The 19976-nt window shown below is 41.0% G+C and overlaps 1 annotated feature.

The window, feature by feature from the left end:
- Positions 19101–19301: a silencer, noted in NCBI's record as "peak1789 fragment used in MPRA reporter construct". NCBI's record gives its function as "represses an SCP1 promoter by STARR-seq MPRAs in K562 erythroleukemia cells {active_cell/tissue: K562}" and the evidence as "EXISTENCE:reporter gene assay evidence [ECO:0000049][PMID:32103011]".

Here is a 19976-nt window from a genome sequence, read left to right as displayed (position 1 = left end):
GAATTCGTGGGTCTGTGAGCAGCACAGTGACACAGGGCCACCAGTCAGAAGGGCTCCCCACTTGGATTCAATGCTTCGCATTGCTGTCTTCAGATTCTTAAAATTTTATCTTTGAATTGTGTGTAGATGAAGTCTGATGGGACAATGGAGCACAGGTGGGCACCTGGAGCCTCTGCTTATGTGGGGCCCCACCTCCCGCCGCTTCAGTGCCCATCACCACCTGGGTTATTGGCTGCTTACCCTCCACCCGTGGTGCCCTGGATGGCAACCAGGTCTTGTGGGGAGGGGGCAGGACTCTGACTCTGGCCAGAGTCTGGGCAAGGGAGAGGGAAGGGCTGAGGTTGGGTGTGTGTTCCCTGTGGCATCTTAGGGAGTGGTGGCCACAGTCCCACCCTGGATTGACAGCTCCACAGTGCACCCAGTGGGCTGTTCAGGAAGTGCGAGCCTGTCACCCATGCTTGAGCCAGGTGCTAAGTGCATTCTGGTTTGGAAGGTGCATGCCTTGGAGGACTTACTTGTCCCCAGCCAGGGCAGGACATATCAGGCATGGTAAAATTTTAATATGTTGTAGTTAGAAAGAATAAGACCTAATATTTGATAACGCAACAGAGTGATTACAGTTAATAATAATTTAATTGTACATTTAAAAATAACTAAAAGAGTATATAATTGGATTGTTTCTAACACAAAGGATAAATGCTTGAGGAGATGGAGACCCCATTTTCCATGATTTGACTATTACACATTACATGCCTGTAGCAAATTATCTCATGTACCCCATAAAAATATACATCTACTATGTACCTACAATTTTTATTATTTTTAAAAGTTTAACATTTTGGTACCAAAACAGCATTTTTTCATGCTTTTTGGATGGGGGGGCACGTATTTTCATTTTGCAAAGGACTCCACAAATTATGTAGCTGATCTTGTCACTAATTATGTATTAGATTAATAATTTGGACTCTTAGAGATCAAAACTTGTAGGTCTCAAAGGAACAAGGCACTAAGATCCAAGGCACTAAGATCCAGAATCTTGGACTGGAAAGTGTGCCTTTAGATGATATTCAAGGAAAAATGTATAAGAACATATTATACACCCAAGAACTTCTTGACAATCAGCACTAGAATGGGGTCACCTAGAGACATCTAGGTGAAATCTCCCACATGAGAACTGTGACTTCAAGCTGGCCATTTTTTTGTTTAGCCAATAAAGTTTTTAAAAGAATCAATCTGGTTGCTTTGATATGGGTGTGCCAGTTTCAGCCAGGCCCACTTCCTAGAGCTCCCTCTTGTCTCGCCTTTGGCTGCTCTCCCATTGGCTCACACTTACACGTGTGAAACCTGGCCCCTGAACTATTTGTGTTTTACTCCTGTTCTGAGCATCACATGTAGGACAATCGGTCATCTCCCTTTCAGGGTTCTATGAATATGGTAACAAAGAGCATTCATAAATACCATAGCACCATGATGTCTCTGAGAGGAATAATTATTATGAGGTGTGATATTTTTTACATTCCTCTCTCCCTTACTGGACTGTAGACTTTTTTTTTTAATGGCACATGTATTAGTCATGGCAGTCTAACTGCTAAAACAAATAAGCCTAAAATCTCAGTGGCTTAGCCCAATAAAGATGTGTGTGTGTGTGTGCGCGCACGGGGGCGCATGTGTGTGCATGTGTGTTTTCACACGTTATAGTCCAATGGGAGTCAGTTAGGAGTCATTTACTCCATACAGTCATTCAGCATTCCAGGGTTCTAGGATCTTCCGTTGGGTGATTTCCTCATCCCTGAGGACCTTGGAATCTTCTACTAGTTCATCAGCATTTGGCTGGCAGATGTGGAAAAAAAGAGCCCACAGAGGACTATGAGAGAGATGTTGATAGGTCAAGACTGGAAATGACAGACATCATTTCTACCTCCGCTCTACTGACTCTGCCATATTACCCTACATAATTGCAGGGGAGGTTGCTAGCCCTCATAAAATTTACCTTCCAGTGAAGTCCTTACTGAAATTCAGGTTGGCACAGAACTTACACAGGGAATGTCAGCTAATGGTATGCTTTTGAGCCTACTACCTAATTTGAATTTTGCTCTACCATAAGTGTGAATTCTGCTCTGCAACTTTACTAGCTATGTAACCTTGGCCAACTTAACCTTCTCTTAGCCTGTTTCCATCTAGCTGTGTGCCTGGAAAGAACAGGAAACACGGTTTGGTGCTACATTAATATTGTCTCTGCTGCATCAACGATCATATGTTATTTTCTTTGTATACGTAATGGCTGGCACCTAGGAAGTATTCAATAAATATTTGTCACGTGAATAAAATAATTGAGGTAGGTAATTAGGATGGGCTCAATTCTTGTAGCAAAAAGAAAGTTGTAATCTGGGTAGATTTGAAATGAGAGAAGGAATCTTATTTGGGGAAAATGAGAATTCAAGGAGTTGACTAGAATTATTGATTTGTGTTTGTCCTCTTATTCAATGACTAAGTGGATAATGTGTGGGCAAAGTCAATCTTCTCTACCTCATTTACTTTTTATCTTTCAGTGAATTTCTTCTTTCCCTATTGGATTCCTTTCTGCTTGTATTTGTTCATCTTCCAAAGAATGTGCTGAAGGATTTCCCACATTCTGATTTTGCTTTTGCTGTGGTGTCATCAATTGCCTTAAAAAACACTTCTAACCCTGTAAGTCACTAGGGGCTTAGCAGAGTATAATGAACTTCAGTTTGGCTTTAGAACAAAACAAATGCCACACAGGCACACACTTCAATAACATATCTTCCATAAAACGAGTGGTCCCCTAAACAGGGAGAATACAAATGCCATACGCATTATTACAGTAGTAGATATTCATCTCCATTCACAAACTTCAGTGTGCCAGAATTATTCCCTTGGCATTTCCTTATTTCCTTTAAGTCAACTTTATTTTATTTAAGCTCCCGTTTTGCCTGGCTGGTGGAAAGAGCCTGAATCTGCTTGCAAGATAAGACCAGAAAGCAAGAGAATTCTTGGAACCCAGAGCCAGGAGAAAAATCTCTAATCTCTAGTTTGTCCCAGTTCCTCCTGAGTTTTTTGTTGCCCAAAAATAAGTCCAGAGGCTCTGGGCTTCCCTGCCATGCCTGTGGATAAGGTGTCTTTGCCTGCACTCAGTACTTCAGTGGTCTAACCTCCCGAAGACACTACCTGGCCATCCCATCTGAGGTCTTGCCCTACACAGAGGGGTTCAGGGAGCCAAGGTTGGGTGTCATTGGTAGTAAAGAGTATAATCAATGACTACTAGTAAGGTTGGTGCTGCTGCCTTGATCTGTGCAAAGATGCCATCAGTTTTATGCAGGTTGTTTTTGCAACATCGTTGTGAATGTCAACCCAGTGACTATCTATAGGAAGACCTCAGCTAAATTAATCTTGTTGAGGGATACTTTAGGAAGACAAATTCAATAGCACCAAATTTAAGCTCACACCATGATGAGAAGGAGTCTGGGTAAAAGCTATATAATGTTAAAGCAGGGAAATCCAATGCTGATTAGAATGAGGTAGGTACAAGCCCAGAATACAACAATAAGCCTAAAGAACATTGAACCCACCACCCTGATAGATCCCTCCAGTTCAATACTCCCACTTGCTTTTCTACTTGCTTTTGTGCTCTATTTCTTTAACCTGTCATAATTATATTTACATAGTTATGTTACATTATTGTCATCTAATCTAATTATAGTTGTCAGCTCTAAATGTGGAAATAACAGGAACAGATTTCAGAAATTCAGACCTTACTTCAGCCACAAAATACATGTGGCCAATTCATAAAGAGTTAAACTTGCATTTCTCAATGATGTTGGAGTTTAATCTTTACCACATGTTGTGTAACAGTCCCACTAAGAAATGAGACTTCACACCCTAGAGCACTTGGTAATAGTAATAACAGCAGCACCTTATCTACGTAGAAAGCAACTATACACCCGCCAGTTTGATCATCATCACAGCTCGGTGTAATAGAGATAAAATGGATTATTATTAGTCACATTTTGCAGAAGGGAACAATTTCCCATTTTGAGAAATTACGTGATTTGCTGAAAGTCACATATTTAAGTGGCAGAAATGAAATCATAACCCAGGCCATTGTCTAAAAGCCTTTAATCCTCCTTCTTCTCTGTTTATGCATCTTGACTCTATTAAATTATATTGTTTTATTTTCCCATTTGCTCAAGGACAACATCTTAGATGAACATCTGGATATAATATCCTTTCCATAAACTTCAGAATTCGTTCATTTAAATGAAGGATTTTTGTCAATAGTTAACCCCTTGGACTGCCTCTTAGGAAAGAAAAGGCAGGACAGTAAAGGTTTCGAAGGGATGATTTTTAGTGGCCAGGGAATAGGAGTTACTTTATGTCATTCTGCAAAATGAATCATTTGCAGTCAAGATAAACCACTGGAGCAAACTTAACCTGTCCAGAAAGGATGATTCTGTTACTTAGGTTGTATATTTATGTCATAATCCTGACTAGGCTTCAACAGAATGGAGAAGACTCAGGAAATCAAGGATCCCAATATATTTGCAAGGCTAGGCAAAGACCTAGAGTGTGAGTATAGGATGGAGGCCAAAGAAATATCAGTCCTCTGATGGAGGAGGAGGGCAGAAGGGCAATGCATGAACTCAAAGGGAGGTCTAAAAACAGGCTGTGTTCATAGGGATGGGACAACGGCCTAACAAGATGAAGTGGCACAACAGAAAAATAGCTCAAGCCAAGATCTTTGTCTTGAGCTCCTTATACCCTATTAGGCAAGACATGACATAGCTAGTAGGTGTTGTAGCCAGGATGGCAGCCTCAGCAATCTGGCTCCAGAATCCCCAGGCACTTAACAGTTCAAGGCATAATTGGTAAGGATCTTAGTTAAGGAGCCAACTTAGTAGTTGATGCGAGTAGAGGAAGGGAGGGAGACAGGCAGGGAGGGAATAAGGAAAGCTTGTGGGAATGACAAAGCCTTCACAGAAAGGTGCATTTAAACTAGGCTTGGAGATTGAAAACATTTTTGATATATGGAGACTAGAATGTGAATGATGGGGCAAAACCCCACCCAAAATGGTTAAGGCAAAATGGAAATATTTTGGCTTATGTGCCTGAACAATCTAGTGGGAGTAGCTCTGGCTTTGAGCTGAGCTTGATCAGGGCTGTCCAACTGCATCTTCAGGACCTGGTTTCTCACTCTCTCAGATCTGCTTTTGGCCATGTTGGTACCTCATTCAGGCCCATCCTCTCCTCTTAACAGCAAGATGGATGCTGCAGTCCAATGGCTGGGTGGACATCTCCAGGACTGCATTCTTAACCACTGCAACAGACTTCCTGCTTAGACAGTATCCTGAGATGAGTTTTGTGTGGAAATAATAAAGCAATTGCCTGTAAGTTTCTGTACCTCAATATGATAATATTTATATTCAGTAGTCTAAATTCACCTTCATATTTGCCCCAGCCTCCAGCTACTATGGCCTCTATGGGTATATGGGTTGGTAGGAACTGAACCTTTTTGACCAGGCATCAATCTACAAATGGCTCATCAACCGCAAATGTTTCCAACAACCCCTCTCCCAAGAGAAAACACATTTAGAGCCGTTAAATGGGAAACCAAGGATCTGTCAATGAACTCTGAGAGTGCTCTATTTACAAGGAAAATGAACTAATCTGAACCTGTAATAAATAACAAGCAAAACAACAGAGCCAGTTTCTTGAGAATTTAGATTTGATGAATTACAAAAAAAACTGTGCAAGGAAGAATTCTGTAACTAGTTTCAGAATTCTTCGAATTATTTTATATATACTGCTCATTTAGTAAAGCCAAATTATTCAACCTTGAGGTTTTTCGAGGCCCTAATTGTTTTTCTCCAGTTATGTAGTAGATTTTGTTTCATCTACAGACAGGAGCACCAATCTACCAACATTTACTTATTGTACAAATAGGGAGCCACATAAATGTGCAAGGACACTGCCAAGTGCTGAAAACAGTCCCTGCCCTCTGGTGAGAATAAACAAAGGAGGAAAGAATAACTGTTCACTATGGAACCACAGTAAAGAGTAGCTTCAGACGCTTAATTCCGAATTTCAGAACACGCCTTTCTTCTTATTGTAATAAGAGCCCATCATCTGGCACAGTATGAGGAGTTCCTTTAGATGATGACCAAACAGAATCTGGGACCCAATTCCTGAACCAACTGGTATTCTCCATAATCTAAAAATTAGAATCAGAATTCATCTGTAATCCTGGCTGTTTCAGGATTTCTGCCACCATCTTGTCCATGAGGAGTTTCAGGGACAGTAATGGCTGAGAATGCTGGCTCTGGGCTCTGGAGGCCTAGATTTGATTCCCAGCTCCACCACTTACCAGTTGTATAAACATAACAAGTATCTTACCTCTCTGAGCCTCAGTTTATCCAAATATAAAATGGAGGTTGTGATAGTGCCCAATTTATAGGGTATTATGTGAGGGTTATTAATTAATATGGAAGGAATCAGAATATGCCATCTCAGAATCTGCCACTTTGGCATAAAGATTATTTTGAGCTGAAGGCAATTAAGAAACAGTAGATGAAGGAAAAAGTTCTCTATATTCCCCCATTTGCCTTAAAGTGGGGAATAAATTTTCCTTCATGAAGTCATCCTCCTCTCCCTCTCTCATACCAGGAAGGGCAGAACAACTTTTAATCACCAGACAACTCTAGACTTCTACCTGTTCTGAGACGTGGGAGAGGAATCCGCATAACCAACCTTATAAGACAACCTGTCTTTCATTAGCTTCCCCCACACATTTACCTTCCCCTACACATTTACCTTCCCCCACACATTTACCTTCCCCATATTTACTACCTAGAGAAGCACAAACCCCTTTCCTTTCTTTCTTGTCACGTCTCCACAATTTATCCCTCTTTTACAAAATGATATTAATATTTAAGCTTCCAGGTTTGACTGCCTCTTTGGAGTTTTTGCCTCATTTCTGTGAGCCCCCTAAATGCATATGAAATAAACCTTTTTCTGCTGTTAATTTGTGTCTTGTCAGTTTATTTTCAAGTGTCCCAGCCACTGAACCTAAAAGTAGAGGAAAAAGCTTTTTTATCCTCCCTGACAAGTATCACATATTCAAAAATCTTTACTTATATCTTTGCATAGTACCTGGTCAATAAATGTTGGTGGTTCCTTCATGCTCAAGAAATACAAAATGTTGGAAGGTACAAACATTATCCTAGATTCACTTCTTGTGGATGTTATTTTTCCCAAAGGTGACTTCTAAATTATCTCTGTCTATAAAACAAATTATTATAATCCTTTTCATAGTATTATTCATATTTAACATTTATTGGGAGCTTAGTGTTTGCCAAGCCACTAATGTAAAGTAGGCACTATTACTATTCCTATTTTACACATGAAGAAATCAAGATTCAGAAATGTAAAATAACTTCCCCAAGGTTACAGAGCTTGAGTGGTTAACTGTTATGTTATACTGCCTCCCTAGTTATCATTAGCTGAAGACGGATATAGAAGAAAAGATAAGAAAGGAGGTAAAGGAAAAGAATTCGTAGAAATGGTCTCTTGTTGAATGATACCTTACATATAACAGATATGTAAATACTGGTTGAATAAATGATTGACATAAAATAAAATGGAATGAACAGCCAAGGAGGCCAGTCTTTTCTTCCCCTGGCCACACTTCTTCAGCCATTTCAATATTATCAGAAAGGGCCAACCTTTTATCTCACCCAGAACTCTGCAAATATTGATTTCCCATCCATTTAACTTTAAGGCATCTCCTATCAAGGATTGCATGAAATTGCTCTGTGTCGTTATGTTTTATGTTTTTCTCTTCCTCCCCTCCAACCCCCCTTTATAATATATATGATAGACCAGCTGGCTGTATAGATGAAATTCCTTTTCTGCTCCACAGTTAATGCAGCTCTGTGGCTTTGTTCTGTAAGCTAGGCCGGATGGAGTGTGTGTGCAGAGAAATCTCTTGAAACAAAATGTGGTCGCTTTTGCAACCGTTTTGCCCCAAAGCACATTTATAAGCAAGTAAATTCCAGTTTGTTCCTTTCAAATTCTTGTTTCCGTGAGCCAAGCACAAAACTCTGGAAGACTCGATTATTTTAAAGTTATTTGAATATCATTTGCTGACACTGTGCAAGAATTTTCCTGGGCTAAATAGTTCAGGTTCATTCGGATTAAGGACTTTCATTAGCAGTTAAGTAAAGCCTTTTCTGTCTTTGACCCTGTAATTAAGAGGCTGTGACTCCGGACTGGCATCTGAGAAACCTATACAAATGTTAATAGAGAGCCCCAAAATTACTCTCAGTTCTCTGGAGAGTGATTTCAAACAAGATACTTCTTTGTTTATGGTCCCTAGGCTTGAGTCAGATCCCCCTTAGACCACAATTTGACAAAATACATTCTGTTAGAAACGGTTGCAGTTTTTGAAAGTGGAGACAGAGAGGTCATCCTAAGAGGTAACATGGTCACTCGGGCATGTCTTTGCAGTGGGGAAAGGGGGATCAAGTGGACAGTATCACTGTTAGAGCTGAGCAACCAGGTCCCTTGCCTTGAGCCCCAACCTGGCTTTGCTCTGGCTAAACTCCTCTCCACAGGGTGAAAAGTCCGTAAAGCCAAAAAGATTTGTCCACTTTAAGGTCAACCCCTCACCCTCAGACCATCCTCGCCAAATGGCCTGTAGTGAGTGCCAGATCCTGCTTGGTCCTTCTAGGGTCTTTCCTCCCAAAGGCAGCCATTGCCACATATGGACCCCTAGAGCCAAGAGGTACTCAATGGGTGGCTTTTGGGCAGGCAGGAACTAGGACAGAGCTTGGACTTGGTGGCTGGAGGTCTTCATGCATGCTCACAAACCTCCGATGTGAAGGTTAGAACCATCGGTGGAAAGAGAAAAAGGATAAAGCACAGGCCTGAGCCTTTCATTTGTATTTTTATCCAGGGCCCTGCAAATGCAGAAACAGACCTGCAGGGAGAAAGGGGAGTAAGTTAGTTGGATTACCTCAAATTTGAAAGCTAATTTGATTTTGTTAGTACACCGGAACATGCCAGTTCTCTGATGGCTGGGCTCATGCAGGTCCACATCTCTAGAATGTGATACCCAAACCAAAATCTAGTTCATTCACAGTGAGAACCAAAGCTACCAAGCTGATTCGGATGTTCATGTCAGTTGATCAAATACCTGCTCCCTATAGAAACTGTATATGGAAAACCAGATTACAACATGAAGTTTTCTTGACAATACAGATTAGGGGCAAGTAGAGTTAAAAGCAAGATCCATGCATCAGATTGATATGCTGAGATATCAATCTCCAGGTTTATCGATACACCTGCTAAGTGGACCTCATGCTTATAATGCCAGCTTATTAACATCTTCTTGTAAGAACAGTGCTAAACACTCACAAATGTTTGATTTTTGGATCTTCTGTATACCATTTCTATTTGGTTTATGGATCACAAATTCTATCTTGAGATATATTAATTCCAATAATTAGTCAAACATTTCTTTTTCCATTTATTCAAGATTTGAATACACTTCTAGGATTTGTTTTTTCTACTTGTAAATCATGCCTTTAAAGTAAAAGTTTTAAGAAGAAAATCCTAATCCATGCTCTAATGGACTAAATATCAGTAACGAGACTGGAAGAAAGTCTAGGAGTCTCCCTTCATTGACCATGAGAAGCCTGATAATTTTGTAAATATTTTGAGTATTATTCCCATCCCTAGGGGCATAAAACAGGAAAACTGAAACAGGGACTTCGGTTTTTATTAAAATTACTTACCAGCATTTTTCTATTCATATTCTTGGCTTATGAACTAGTGAACTTGCTTTGATGATTATAAATGATGTTTTTTTCCATATCCAGAGTTTGAAAGTAAAAACGCAACAGGGATGGTCTTCTCCAAGCTTCCCATCACCCCATCCCTGCCAATACTTTCATCTTTTATTACCTCTTCTATTTCTCTAGCCACAAAGAATCAGAAAAAGGAGGATTCTGGAGTGGTTCTCATTCTCGTAGACAGGAATTAAAAATAAAGTCTGGCAAATAACATCTATCAAGCAATGTCTTCTCATACATCCCCATCTCAAAGTTTAATATGCTCTGATGTGTGTACTCAAGGTCTTAATAGAATCAGAGATGGTTAAATAAAAATCCAGAGAAGACCAATATGTGTGTGTGTTTGCACTTGCTTTGATTCCTTTTGTGGTTGGTTCTTCCGTGTGTGTGTGTGTGTGTGTGTGTGTGTGTGTGTGTGCTTTGATTCCCTTTGAGCTTGAGTCTTCTGAGGATCTGCAATGCAGGCTAGAGTGAAACTGCTGGCAGGCATTTGATTTTTCTCAACTAGTGACAAGAAAAAGACAAGAGGAGGACACAGCCAAAGGGGGCCTGATGGCTAAATGTGTGGTGAGTGGCTCCAAGTTTTGTGAGTCAAATACTATATTTCTGAATGAAATCAATTTCTAGGTTGCACAAATGTTCATGGCCTATTTACAAAGAAAATAGAAACCTCAACTGTGATTCTAAAGCTATCACTTAACTTGGTGCCCACATCCACCCTATGGTAAGATTCTATAGCACACAACATCTAAAGATCTCAGAAAACTCTTTCTAGACAATCCCATGCTCAAGCTTGGCTCTTGCCTTTAATTATGTTGCTCTTCCTTCTTGCCATCTCTAAACCCTACGTATGAATCTTGGGCTCTGGTGGAGCCTCACATTCTGCTGCTCAATGGGGTTGGGTAGAAGCCAGAGGGAATCAATCTAGAAGAACGTGCTGCCAGAAGAGGTACAGGTAGTGGAGACATCCACTAACCACAGGGCCTGGCAAATTCTGGTCATCAGCCTAGTGTAGTAATTGTGCCTGATGAAAAATGTTTCAACAGCAGCAGGAAACAGAGCCCAGAAAATAATAACAACAATAACAAGTATTTACAAAAAAATATAATCATACTGCTAAGCTCAGCTATGAATAATATTTATAAAGTCAGAATAATGAAAACACAAAATATGAATTGTTAGAAAATTTTCATATAATTATATTGGAGGATGGGGTAGGAGGTAGAAGAGCTAAAATCTTTATTTACTTCAATATCTAAAATTGATAAACAATAGCAGCATATGCATATTTAGAACTATGGAGCTGGTGCAAGAATAAAGAGCTGAAATAGTAGAAAATAGCTATCAATGGAGAGTGGAAGGGTATGCATGAGAATACTATAGTTTCATCAATAAGATTACTAGTCCTATTCAACTTCTGAAACCATGTGCATGCGTTACTCCGATAAAACAACTTTTTTAAGTTGAACATTGTCCAACTCCACAAATCAATACATTGGGAAGTTAATATTACAAATGTATTTCTTGTCTAAAAGCAAAGAACCATAATGTCTTCTCTCTTGCATAGCTTGCAATTTGGAGTCCTTTATCCCATGCAATCCCAAAACACTGTATCTGGGGCAGCAAATTACTATGGGCTACAGTAAATCTAAAAGTTTATTCTTAACATTTTTGGGTTTTCTGCACACACAGGCTTCACACACAGGAGGTATTATAAGAGTATTCTAGATAGTATTGTTGAAGGAGGAAGAGGTGTAATAATATCAAAATAATTTGCAGTAAGATTCAAACATTTGTAATAAAAAGCTTAGTTATTAAAGAAGATACTCCTTAACTTGCCAGCAGTCACCGTAAATTTATGTTCTAAATGAAGATGAAAATACAAAGTAGTAACATGTTAAGCAACTCTTGGTTTTTAAAGATGGGTAATAGCCCCTTAAGGGCTTGCACAATTCCTCTCTCAAATTCATTTGCACTTTTTATTATTTGCACCTACTTCACTTCATATAAGTAATAAAATACTTTTATTTCTCTCTGTGTTTATCCTTTAATTACACATCAGATGCCTTACCTGAAACTACAAGTACAAGAACAGGCTGCTCCAAACAAAAGCACAAAAGCTTAGAGCCGGAGAGTTCTCTGAAGACAAAGGTTTTCAAGTCTTGTTGAAATAGAGCCGCAAAATGAGCAGGAGGGGCAGCTGCTAACCAGTGCCCCAGCCATGGCCCAGGGTAACCAAATTCCTTACTGTTCTGGGGGACAGAAATGCCAATAACGCGAAGTTCAGCCAGGTAAACTATGCTGATTCTCAAACCAACAATCTCTGGGTGGGGTTGGAAACTCAGACCTGGGAAGAGCATCAGCAAGCCCTGGGGTTTAAGAGCACTCCTGACCTCCAGACCTACCTCTTTAGCCAGTCTAGGGCACTTAGGGCTCAGCTTAAGGTTCTTTATCTTTCGTTCCACACTCCCAGGATCCTCCTGGGACAAATGGGAAAAGAAGATAAAGTTTGATGGCTACTAGAGTCAATGGAGTTAAAGGCAATGCTGCCCTTGGAACTGTTGGAAATACCAAAGAACAATTGCAGATCAAGAGCAGCAGTGAGTGTGGAGACATACACTCACACTTACCATAATAGAATAGAAACTAGAGGGTTTGTGTTCACTTATCAGCTCCACTACTTCCCAACTTATAACATTTGCCTACTCACCAACTAGTAAATATCTGCTACATAGTGAAAGCTCCAAAACTGTTGGTTAATGAATGTTGAAATCACTTAAGCTTTTTGGGCTTCTCTGGCTCCATATTAAAAATAAGGAGATTGGCCAGGTGCAGTGGCTCATGCCTGCAATCCCAGCACTTTGGAAGGCCGAGGTGGGTGGATCACTGGAGCTCAGGAGTTTGAGACCAGTCTGGGCAACTCAGCGAAGCCCCGTCTCTACCAAAATTACAAAAATGAGCCAGCACACACCTGTGGTCCCAGCTACTAAGGAGGCTGAGATGGGAGAATCGCTGGAGCCTGGGAAGTCAAGGCTGCAGTGAGCCAAGGTCCCACCACTGCACTCTAGCCTGGGTGACAGAGTGAGATCCTCTCTCAAAAAATAAAAATAAGGAGATTGGACTATCCAATTGGTAATAAGGATAGGCACTGATACTTATTGAACACTTAATATATGTGGGGGACTGTTGTGAATTAATGAAATGTATTGTCACAAAAAACATGTTATCTCCTTTTAACATACAAGGAAATCAAAGCACAGAGAGGTTGGGTAACTAGCCCCACATCACACATTTGGTCAGGCAGAACCAGGATTCAAAACTCCAGAATCCATGTGTTTTCCCAGTATGTTTTTGTCAACTTCCAGCTTATGCTATTATAATGATTCCCACTTTGTTACCTGCTCATTATCAATAAGATGTTTAATCTCTTACTCTGACTCTATATATACTGCCTGTATTACTTCCCAGAGATTAGTCCTCTGTGTATCCATCAATACTTGAGCCTTCAAACATCGAAGAAAAGCTTGTATTTATAATTCAAATAAGAGAAACTAGACATTTTATATCTACTTGTGGATAGTATAAAGTGGAGAGGGATAGCAAGAATGTTGGATGACAATCACCACCTAAACATACTGACAAGCAACATAAAAGAACCCATCTAACAAGATATGGGGAATGGGAAAAAATGCAGTGGTGTGCTGATGAAGAAGCTCTCTGAAAACAAAAACCCTGATTTGGAGCATCTTCCTGAGAAGCGTTATGGGCCAAGATGTACGCAGAGGAGGCACAGTTGTGTGGGAGAAAAATCACAGGACGCGGATTCAGATGTCTGAGAGTAAGTCGTACCTGCTGTGCAACCCGAAGCAAGTCTGTTTACCTCATGGAACCTGCCTCTACTGCTGGAAGTGGGGATGTGTCAGGTACCTCACAGGCTTGTCATGAGGACTGAGTGAGATGACATAGGAAAACACTTGCCAAACTTGAAAGTCTTGCTCCTCAGGGTGTGTCTCATGCCAGCAGCATCAACAGCATCCAGGACTTTGTTGGAAAGGCACGTTCTCAGGCCCCACCCCAGACCCACTGAAATAGAGTCTGCATTTCCACAAGATCACCAGGTGATTGTGTGCACATTAACGTTTGAGAAGCCCTATTCTAAAGAACCAAACAAATGTAGTGTGTTGAAATTTTGGACTTTTTTCATATTCTGCCAAGGAAATACATCATGGCCAAATTTAAAGAAATGGGCCCCCAGCACTTTGGGAGGCCGAGGCGGGTGGATCACGAGGTCAGGAGATCGAGACCATCCTGGCTAACACGGTGAAACCCCGTCTCTACTAAAAATACAAAAAATTAGCTGGGCAAGGTGGTGGGCACCTGTAGTCCCAGCTACGTGGGAGGCTGAGGTAAGAGAATGGTGTGAACCCGGGAGGTGGAGCTTGCAGTGAGCCGAGATCGCACCACTGCACTCCAGCCTGGGCAACAGAGTGGGACTCCGTCTCAAAAAAAAAAAAGAAAAGAAAAGAAAAGAAAGAAATGGGCCCCTCTCAGAGTTTTCCATAATCCTCCTTCCCTGGGTCCTGATGAGCTCCCTAGGTTTTGGGGAGCAGATGCCCATCATGTGGCCAAGTGGGTTATTCCTGGAGAGCAGTTCCCTTTGCTCAGGAATGGACCACTTGAGAAAGTCATTGCCTAATAAAATCCCTTATTGTTTTCAAGGGAAGACAACCAATAAAATGCAAGCCTACTGATATGGTATGGCTGTGTCTCATCATGAATTGCAGTTTCCATAATCCCCACGGGTGGTGAGAGGGACTGGTGGGGGCTAATTGAATCATGGGGGTGGTTACCCTCATGCTGTTCTCGGGATAGTGCGTGAGTTCTTATGAGATCTGATAGTTTTTATAAAGGGCTTTTCCCCCTTTGCTCCGCACTTCTCTCTCTTGCCACCTTGTGAAAAAGGACATCTTGGCTTCCCCTTCTGCCATGATTGTAAGTTTCCTGAGGCCTCCCCAGCCATGCGCAACTGTGAGTCAATTGAACCTCTTTCCTTTATAAATTACCCAGTCTCGGGTATGTCCTTATAGCAGCATGAGAATGAACGATTAACACATCTACATATACAAAACTGTCTCAACCCCGGGAAAGATTGTTAAATTTGAGACTGAATGTAATTAACAGCTATATTAGTCCATTCTTGCATTGCTGTAAAGAAGTACTTAACACTGGGAAATTTATAAAGAAAAGAGGTTTAATGGGCTCACAATTTTGCAGGCTGTACAAGAAGCATAGTGGCCTCTGCTTCTGGGAAGGCCTCAGGAAGCATCCAATCATGGCAGCAGGCAAATGGGGACAGGCATCTTACATGGCCAGAGCAGGAGGAAGGGAGGGGGTGGTGCCACACACTTTTAAATAACCAGATCTCATGAGAACTCTGTCACTAGTACGGTACCAAGGGGATGGTGCTGAACCATTCATGAAGCACCACTCCTATGATTCAATCACCTCCCACCAGGCCCCACCTCCAACACTGGGAATTATAATTCGACATGAGATTTGGGCAGGGACACCCAAACCACATCAGCAGCCAAAGTGGAGTTGAGGTGAATTTTAATCTTTCCGGCTAAGAGTGCCTGGGATCAACAGTTAAAAGTAGCAACTCAGAGTAAGAGGATGCCTTATTATAAATTTATATTTGATTACATCCCTGTTTCCTATGACAGACACATCACAGGTGCTTCACAAATACCCTTTACACAGACTTGAACAGTCTCAGCTTCCTAACTGCCAAAACGTCCTTTTAATACAATTATGAACCTGTTAAGACACTAGGGATTGGATAGATAGAATGTAAGAACTCCTTGACTTTTGGCTAGCTCAACTTCATTTTACATGCATGGACACAATACACACACACACACGCAGACACACACAGACACACACACACACACACAATTATTGTTCCTTCTTTTCACCAGTTATTTTCTCCACTTTCCATTCCCCTGATCAAAAATTACCCATCTAACATCTAAACGTATAGATTTTAATAACCTGTCAGTGTCATAATAGAAACAAAATGATTCCACTTGGAAATCACTATTTACAAAAAAAAATCTTTGCATTTCAAAAGTACTTTAAGTAGATGTCCTAAATTTGATTTAAGAAACAATCTGTTCCAGAAAGTCTGTGACTAAGATGTGAATGAAAAACTAAAACCCATTAATGAATTATTAGCACACAGATTGGTCTAAAACTTCAAAGGTCAGAGATCTGTTCTGAGCAGAAATGTGTCAGGGGAGAGAAAAATCTTTCAGCTGGAGAGTGTCTCACCTGCGGAGTATTCCAGTTGGGTTTGTGTGCTCCTCAAGAATAGTGGTATTTTAAGTTTTTTATCTGGTTGGTTGGTTTGGCTCTTGTCACAAAAGAAAAAAAAGTGAGTCTATAAAAGGACAGTAGCACTCTCTCCTTGAAAGTCTAGCTGCTGAGCACAAAGTCTCTGGGTGTAAGACATAGCATTACCTGGGACGACCCTGATCACCAGGATTCCAAGCCCAGAAACACAGGAGCTAAAGTAGAGCATATGTGTCCTGGGATCCATTGCTTTTCCAATACGAATTAGTTTTACCCTACCTCAGAGGTGGGATTATATAAAACACTATTTGATAACTTTGGAAAACCTGTCAGAAAGTGTCCCATATATTCACATGTATTTGTTTATATTTTGTTCTAAAATCTATATTCAACTATGATTCAAGCATGTCTGAAAATGAGGTGAGTTCCCAGGATCTTTGTACATGAAAAACCAAAACGCTTATCCCAGGAGAAGCAAGTAGAGGCCAGTAGCTTGGCTCTAGGACAAAAGCAGCTTCTGGGTGGGAGATATTTTTAACACAGTAGGGCCCAACTTCCACGTCAAGCGGCATTAAGTCAATTTAGGCTGAATCCTAGGAAGAGGAGGCTGCCAACAAAGAACTGGCTTAGCACAGCCCACCTTGAGGTGGAGGCCTGACACAGACCCAGCCCTCCAGTGGCAGTGAGAGCCCTCAACACTGGTTTGGCTAAAGCTGCCAAGGCACAGACACTGATGGCAGTAACAGCAGCACCTGTTTTGTGACATCTTCGGTAAGTGTTGATGTGTGAGCCACTAAGTTTGGTAATGGTAGTGACCAAAGATAATTCCCCAAGGAGCCACAAAAGAGAAAAGGAGAATGGCAACTGTCACATCACAACTAAGAATGGACCCTCAGGGACATCAGAACTATTTAAGGTGGGATTTGAGAGTGGTGGGATGGGGGAAAGGGATGAGTCCTCCAGAGTAGGTCACATTAGAGACGAGTTCCACAATTCGTATGAATTAAAATTATAAAAATTATGTAACTTTGTAATGGTATTAACAAACATTTGCTTTCCTCTGTCTACTCTAAGTCTAGTGAAAGATGGGAAGTAAGGAACAGAGTAGGAAAGTCTGAGTTTGTGGCAGCATGAACTATAAATCTGAGATTCAGCTATCCATATTTACAGAAGACCCAGACAGAATACTTCATGATGAGATCCATCATTCAATTGGCAGAATTTACTGCTCAAACCTTTCAATTAGGAATTGAATCTCCAGCTGTCTTAACTACCGCTGAAACCCCTGCAGCAGCAGTGAGCCACACACATGCCCCAAGCACAGGCCCTCCATTAACCAACTACTTTTTCCTTTGAAATTTTCCCAACAGGATTTTCACTCTTGCTCACTTCTTCATTAATGGATAACAGGGCTTCATCCAAGACCTATGGTTCAGATTTTCTTCTTCATCCTTTTCTTTCTGGATCACTGCTATGTTTGATTTAAAACCATAAGTTAGTGCTGTTAAAACAAATCCTTAAAAATCAAGACTGGATATGTTTGTGATGCTCAAGAAAGTGAGACCATGTAATTTCGCATTGACAGAATAGTGCTGAGGAAACCACTTGCGATCTGAAGTGAAAAGTCTTGAGTTTAAAATCCTACAGTTGTCACCTCCTAGTTGTATAGCCTCAAACAAGCCGCTTATCCTAAATCTTATGTAAAATAGGAATAATAATAATTTCTGCCTCTCAGAAATATGAGGACCAAATGAGATACACTGTCTTTACTGAAAATGCTTATAATTTTCTTCCCTACTTACAAAATCTATCCACCACCACCAACCCTAGCCTGAAAGAGGTAGCCTTACCGACTACATTTCCCTGGCCACAGCTGCTTAAACCCCACATGGATAGCTGAGCAAGGTTAAACCAGTCAGATTCTCTTTCATAGGAATTTAAAACTTGAGATACTGAGTCATTTAGCCCTGGAGAACCAAGCTGGAAGTTAATGGAGACTTGGGGTCCAAGACTACATTTTAGGGTGGCCATGATGGTTGCAAGCAAATGAGCAAGCAGAACAGGTGGTCTGAAGAAAGAAGAATGAGGCAGGCTTGTAGAGAGAAGCAGGCAGATGTCATGTGGACTTCTAAGGAGAGAGATGGTGAGATTAGCCTCTAGTGACTCTCTTAGTTCTCATGAAGCTCAGCTACACGTCCTACATTTGGTGTGCAATTCTTCTACATTCTTATATTATAAACCCACTGTTTGTTAGTTACTTTGAGTTTTTGTTCCTTGCCAAAAATAAAAATAAAATAGGAGAGAGAAATAATTGTAGAACTGTAAAATGAAAGCACTATACAAATACAAGATGTCTTTGATATCCACTTAGGACTTAGCGGCCATTAGGGAATGGAGGAGAGGTAAATGGAGGGAAGCCATTAGGGAATGGAGGAGAGCCACCTTCCAAACCCTGAATGATAACCAACAACCTCATAAATAAGGTATCAGCATTTGGAATCAGCCAGTTGGGCATCCTGCTTGCAAAGTGTTGAAAGAGTCTTCATAAGAGCCAGTATTCATCAGAACTCTTTTGGCAATGTGGCAAAATCCAAATTCAGCCTAACTAAAGAGAAATGGAAATGTGCAGTCCACCTAACTGCTAAGTCCATGGGGGACTTTCATGGGAATTTAAATGTAAATTTCTTATCTGGTTAAAGACCTGCCCTTCTCATATCATATCTTCTATTTTCATTTGTGTTGGCTTCATTCTCTGGCAGGCTGCCCACCATGATGGCAAGGTGGTTCTCAGAAGCTCCAGGCTTATTCTTGCCAGCTTAATAACGTCCACAGAGAGTACCTCTTTGCTTATGGTTTCAGTCAGACACCCAAGGATGAGTGTGACTGGCCTAACCTGGGTCATATGCTTACCCCTAAAGCAATCACTGTAGCCAAGGGAATGAAATGTTGTCTTTGCCAAAGCCTGAGTCATGTGTTCTTCTCTGGAGCGATGGGATGGTATCAGCCTCACCTGATTCATAGAGACTGAGCACTACGGCATGAGAGTTCACTAAAGGAAAAATCAGGGTGCTGCTACCAAAAGAAGGGGAAAGGCATGCAGGGAGAACTTAGATTCTCCCAGCTCTTCCCACCATGAACACCTGAGACTTAAAAATAGAAGTAAACTTTCTTTAGGAAGGAAAACTTTTTATTTATAAATGGGTGGAGTGACCAAAAGACTTGTGGCCCTTGCTCACTACACAAATTTTATCTCTATGGTAGCACAGAGAGACAGCAGTACCTGGGGATGAATCAGTCATTGTCCTCAGGCTCAGCCTCCCCACCCACAGTCTCATCGCCAGCTCACTGAGTCATCCCATGCTCCATCCAACATGTTTTGCTTTTCCCACAGTTTCCTTGAATCTCCTGGGACAGATGGCTGGCTTTTGGAGCTGAGGAAAGGAAGTGGTGTCTTTCAGAAATAAGAGTGCCTCTCCTGTTAGTAAAACTAACAGAAGAGCTGGCTTAAGATGGGAGAGGGTAGGAATTACTTTGCAGTTCCTGGTGCACTTAAAATCATACTCTTTCTTATAAAAAACTGATTCATATGCAACATCTACCTTTCTCTATTTCTGTTTAACAAAAACCCCAAAACCCTTCTCATCCTTTTAGACCTAGATAGCTCAGATGCCTCTTCCTGCTTGTCTTCCCTTTCCTGCTTCCTCTTTCTCACTTACCTGAAAGGCAGAATTTATGACCCCTTTCCTGTTCTCTCCCAGC

The sequence above is a fragment of the Homo sapiens genome, chromosome 12 (assembly GCF_000001405.40).
Source record: "Homo sapiens chromosome 12, GRCh38.p14 Primary Assembly".
In the NCBI taxonomy this organism is placed as follows: domain Eukaryota; kingdom Metazoa; phylum Chordata; class Mammalia; order Primates; family Hominidae; genus Homo; species Homo sapiens.
The sequence above is the reverse complement of the archived record's forward strand: the minus strand, read 5'-3'. Positions and strand labels throughout refer to the sequence as shown.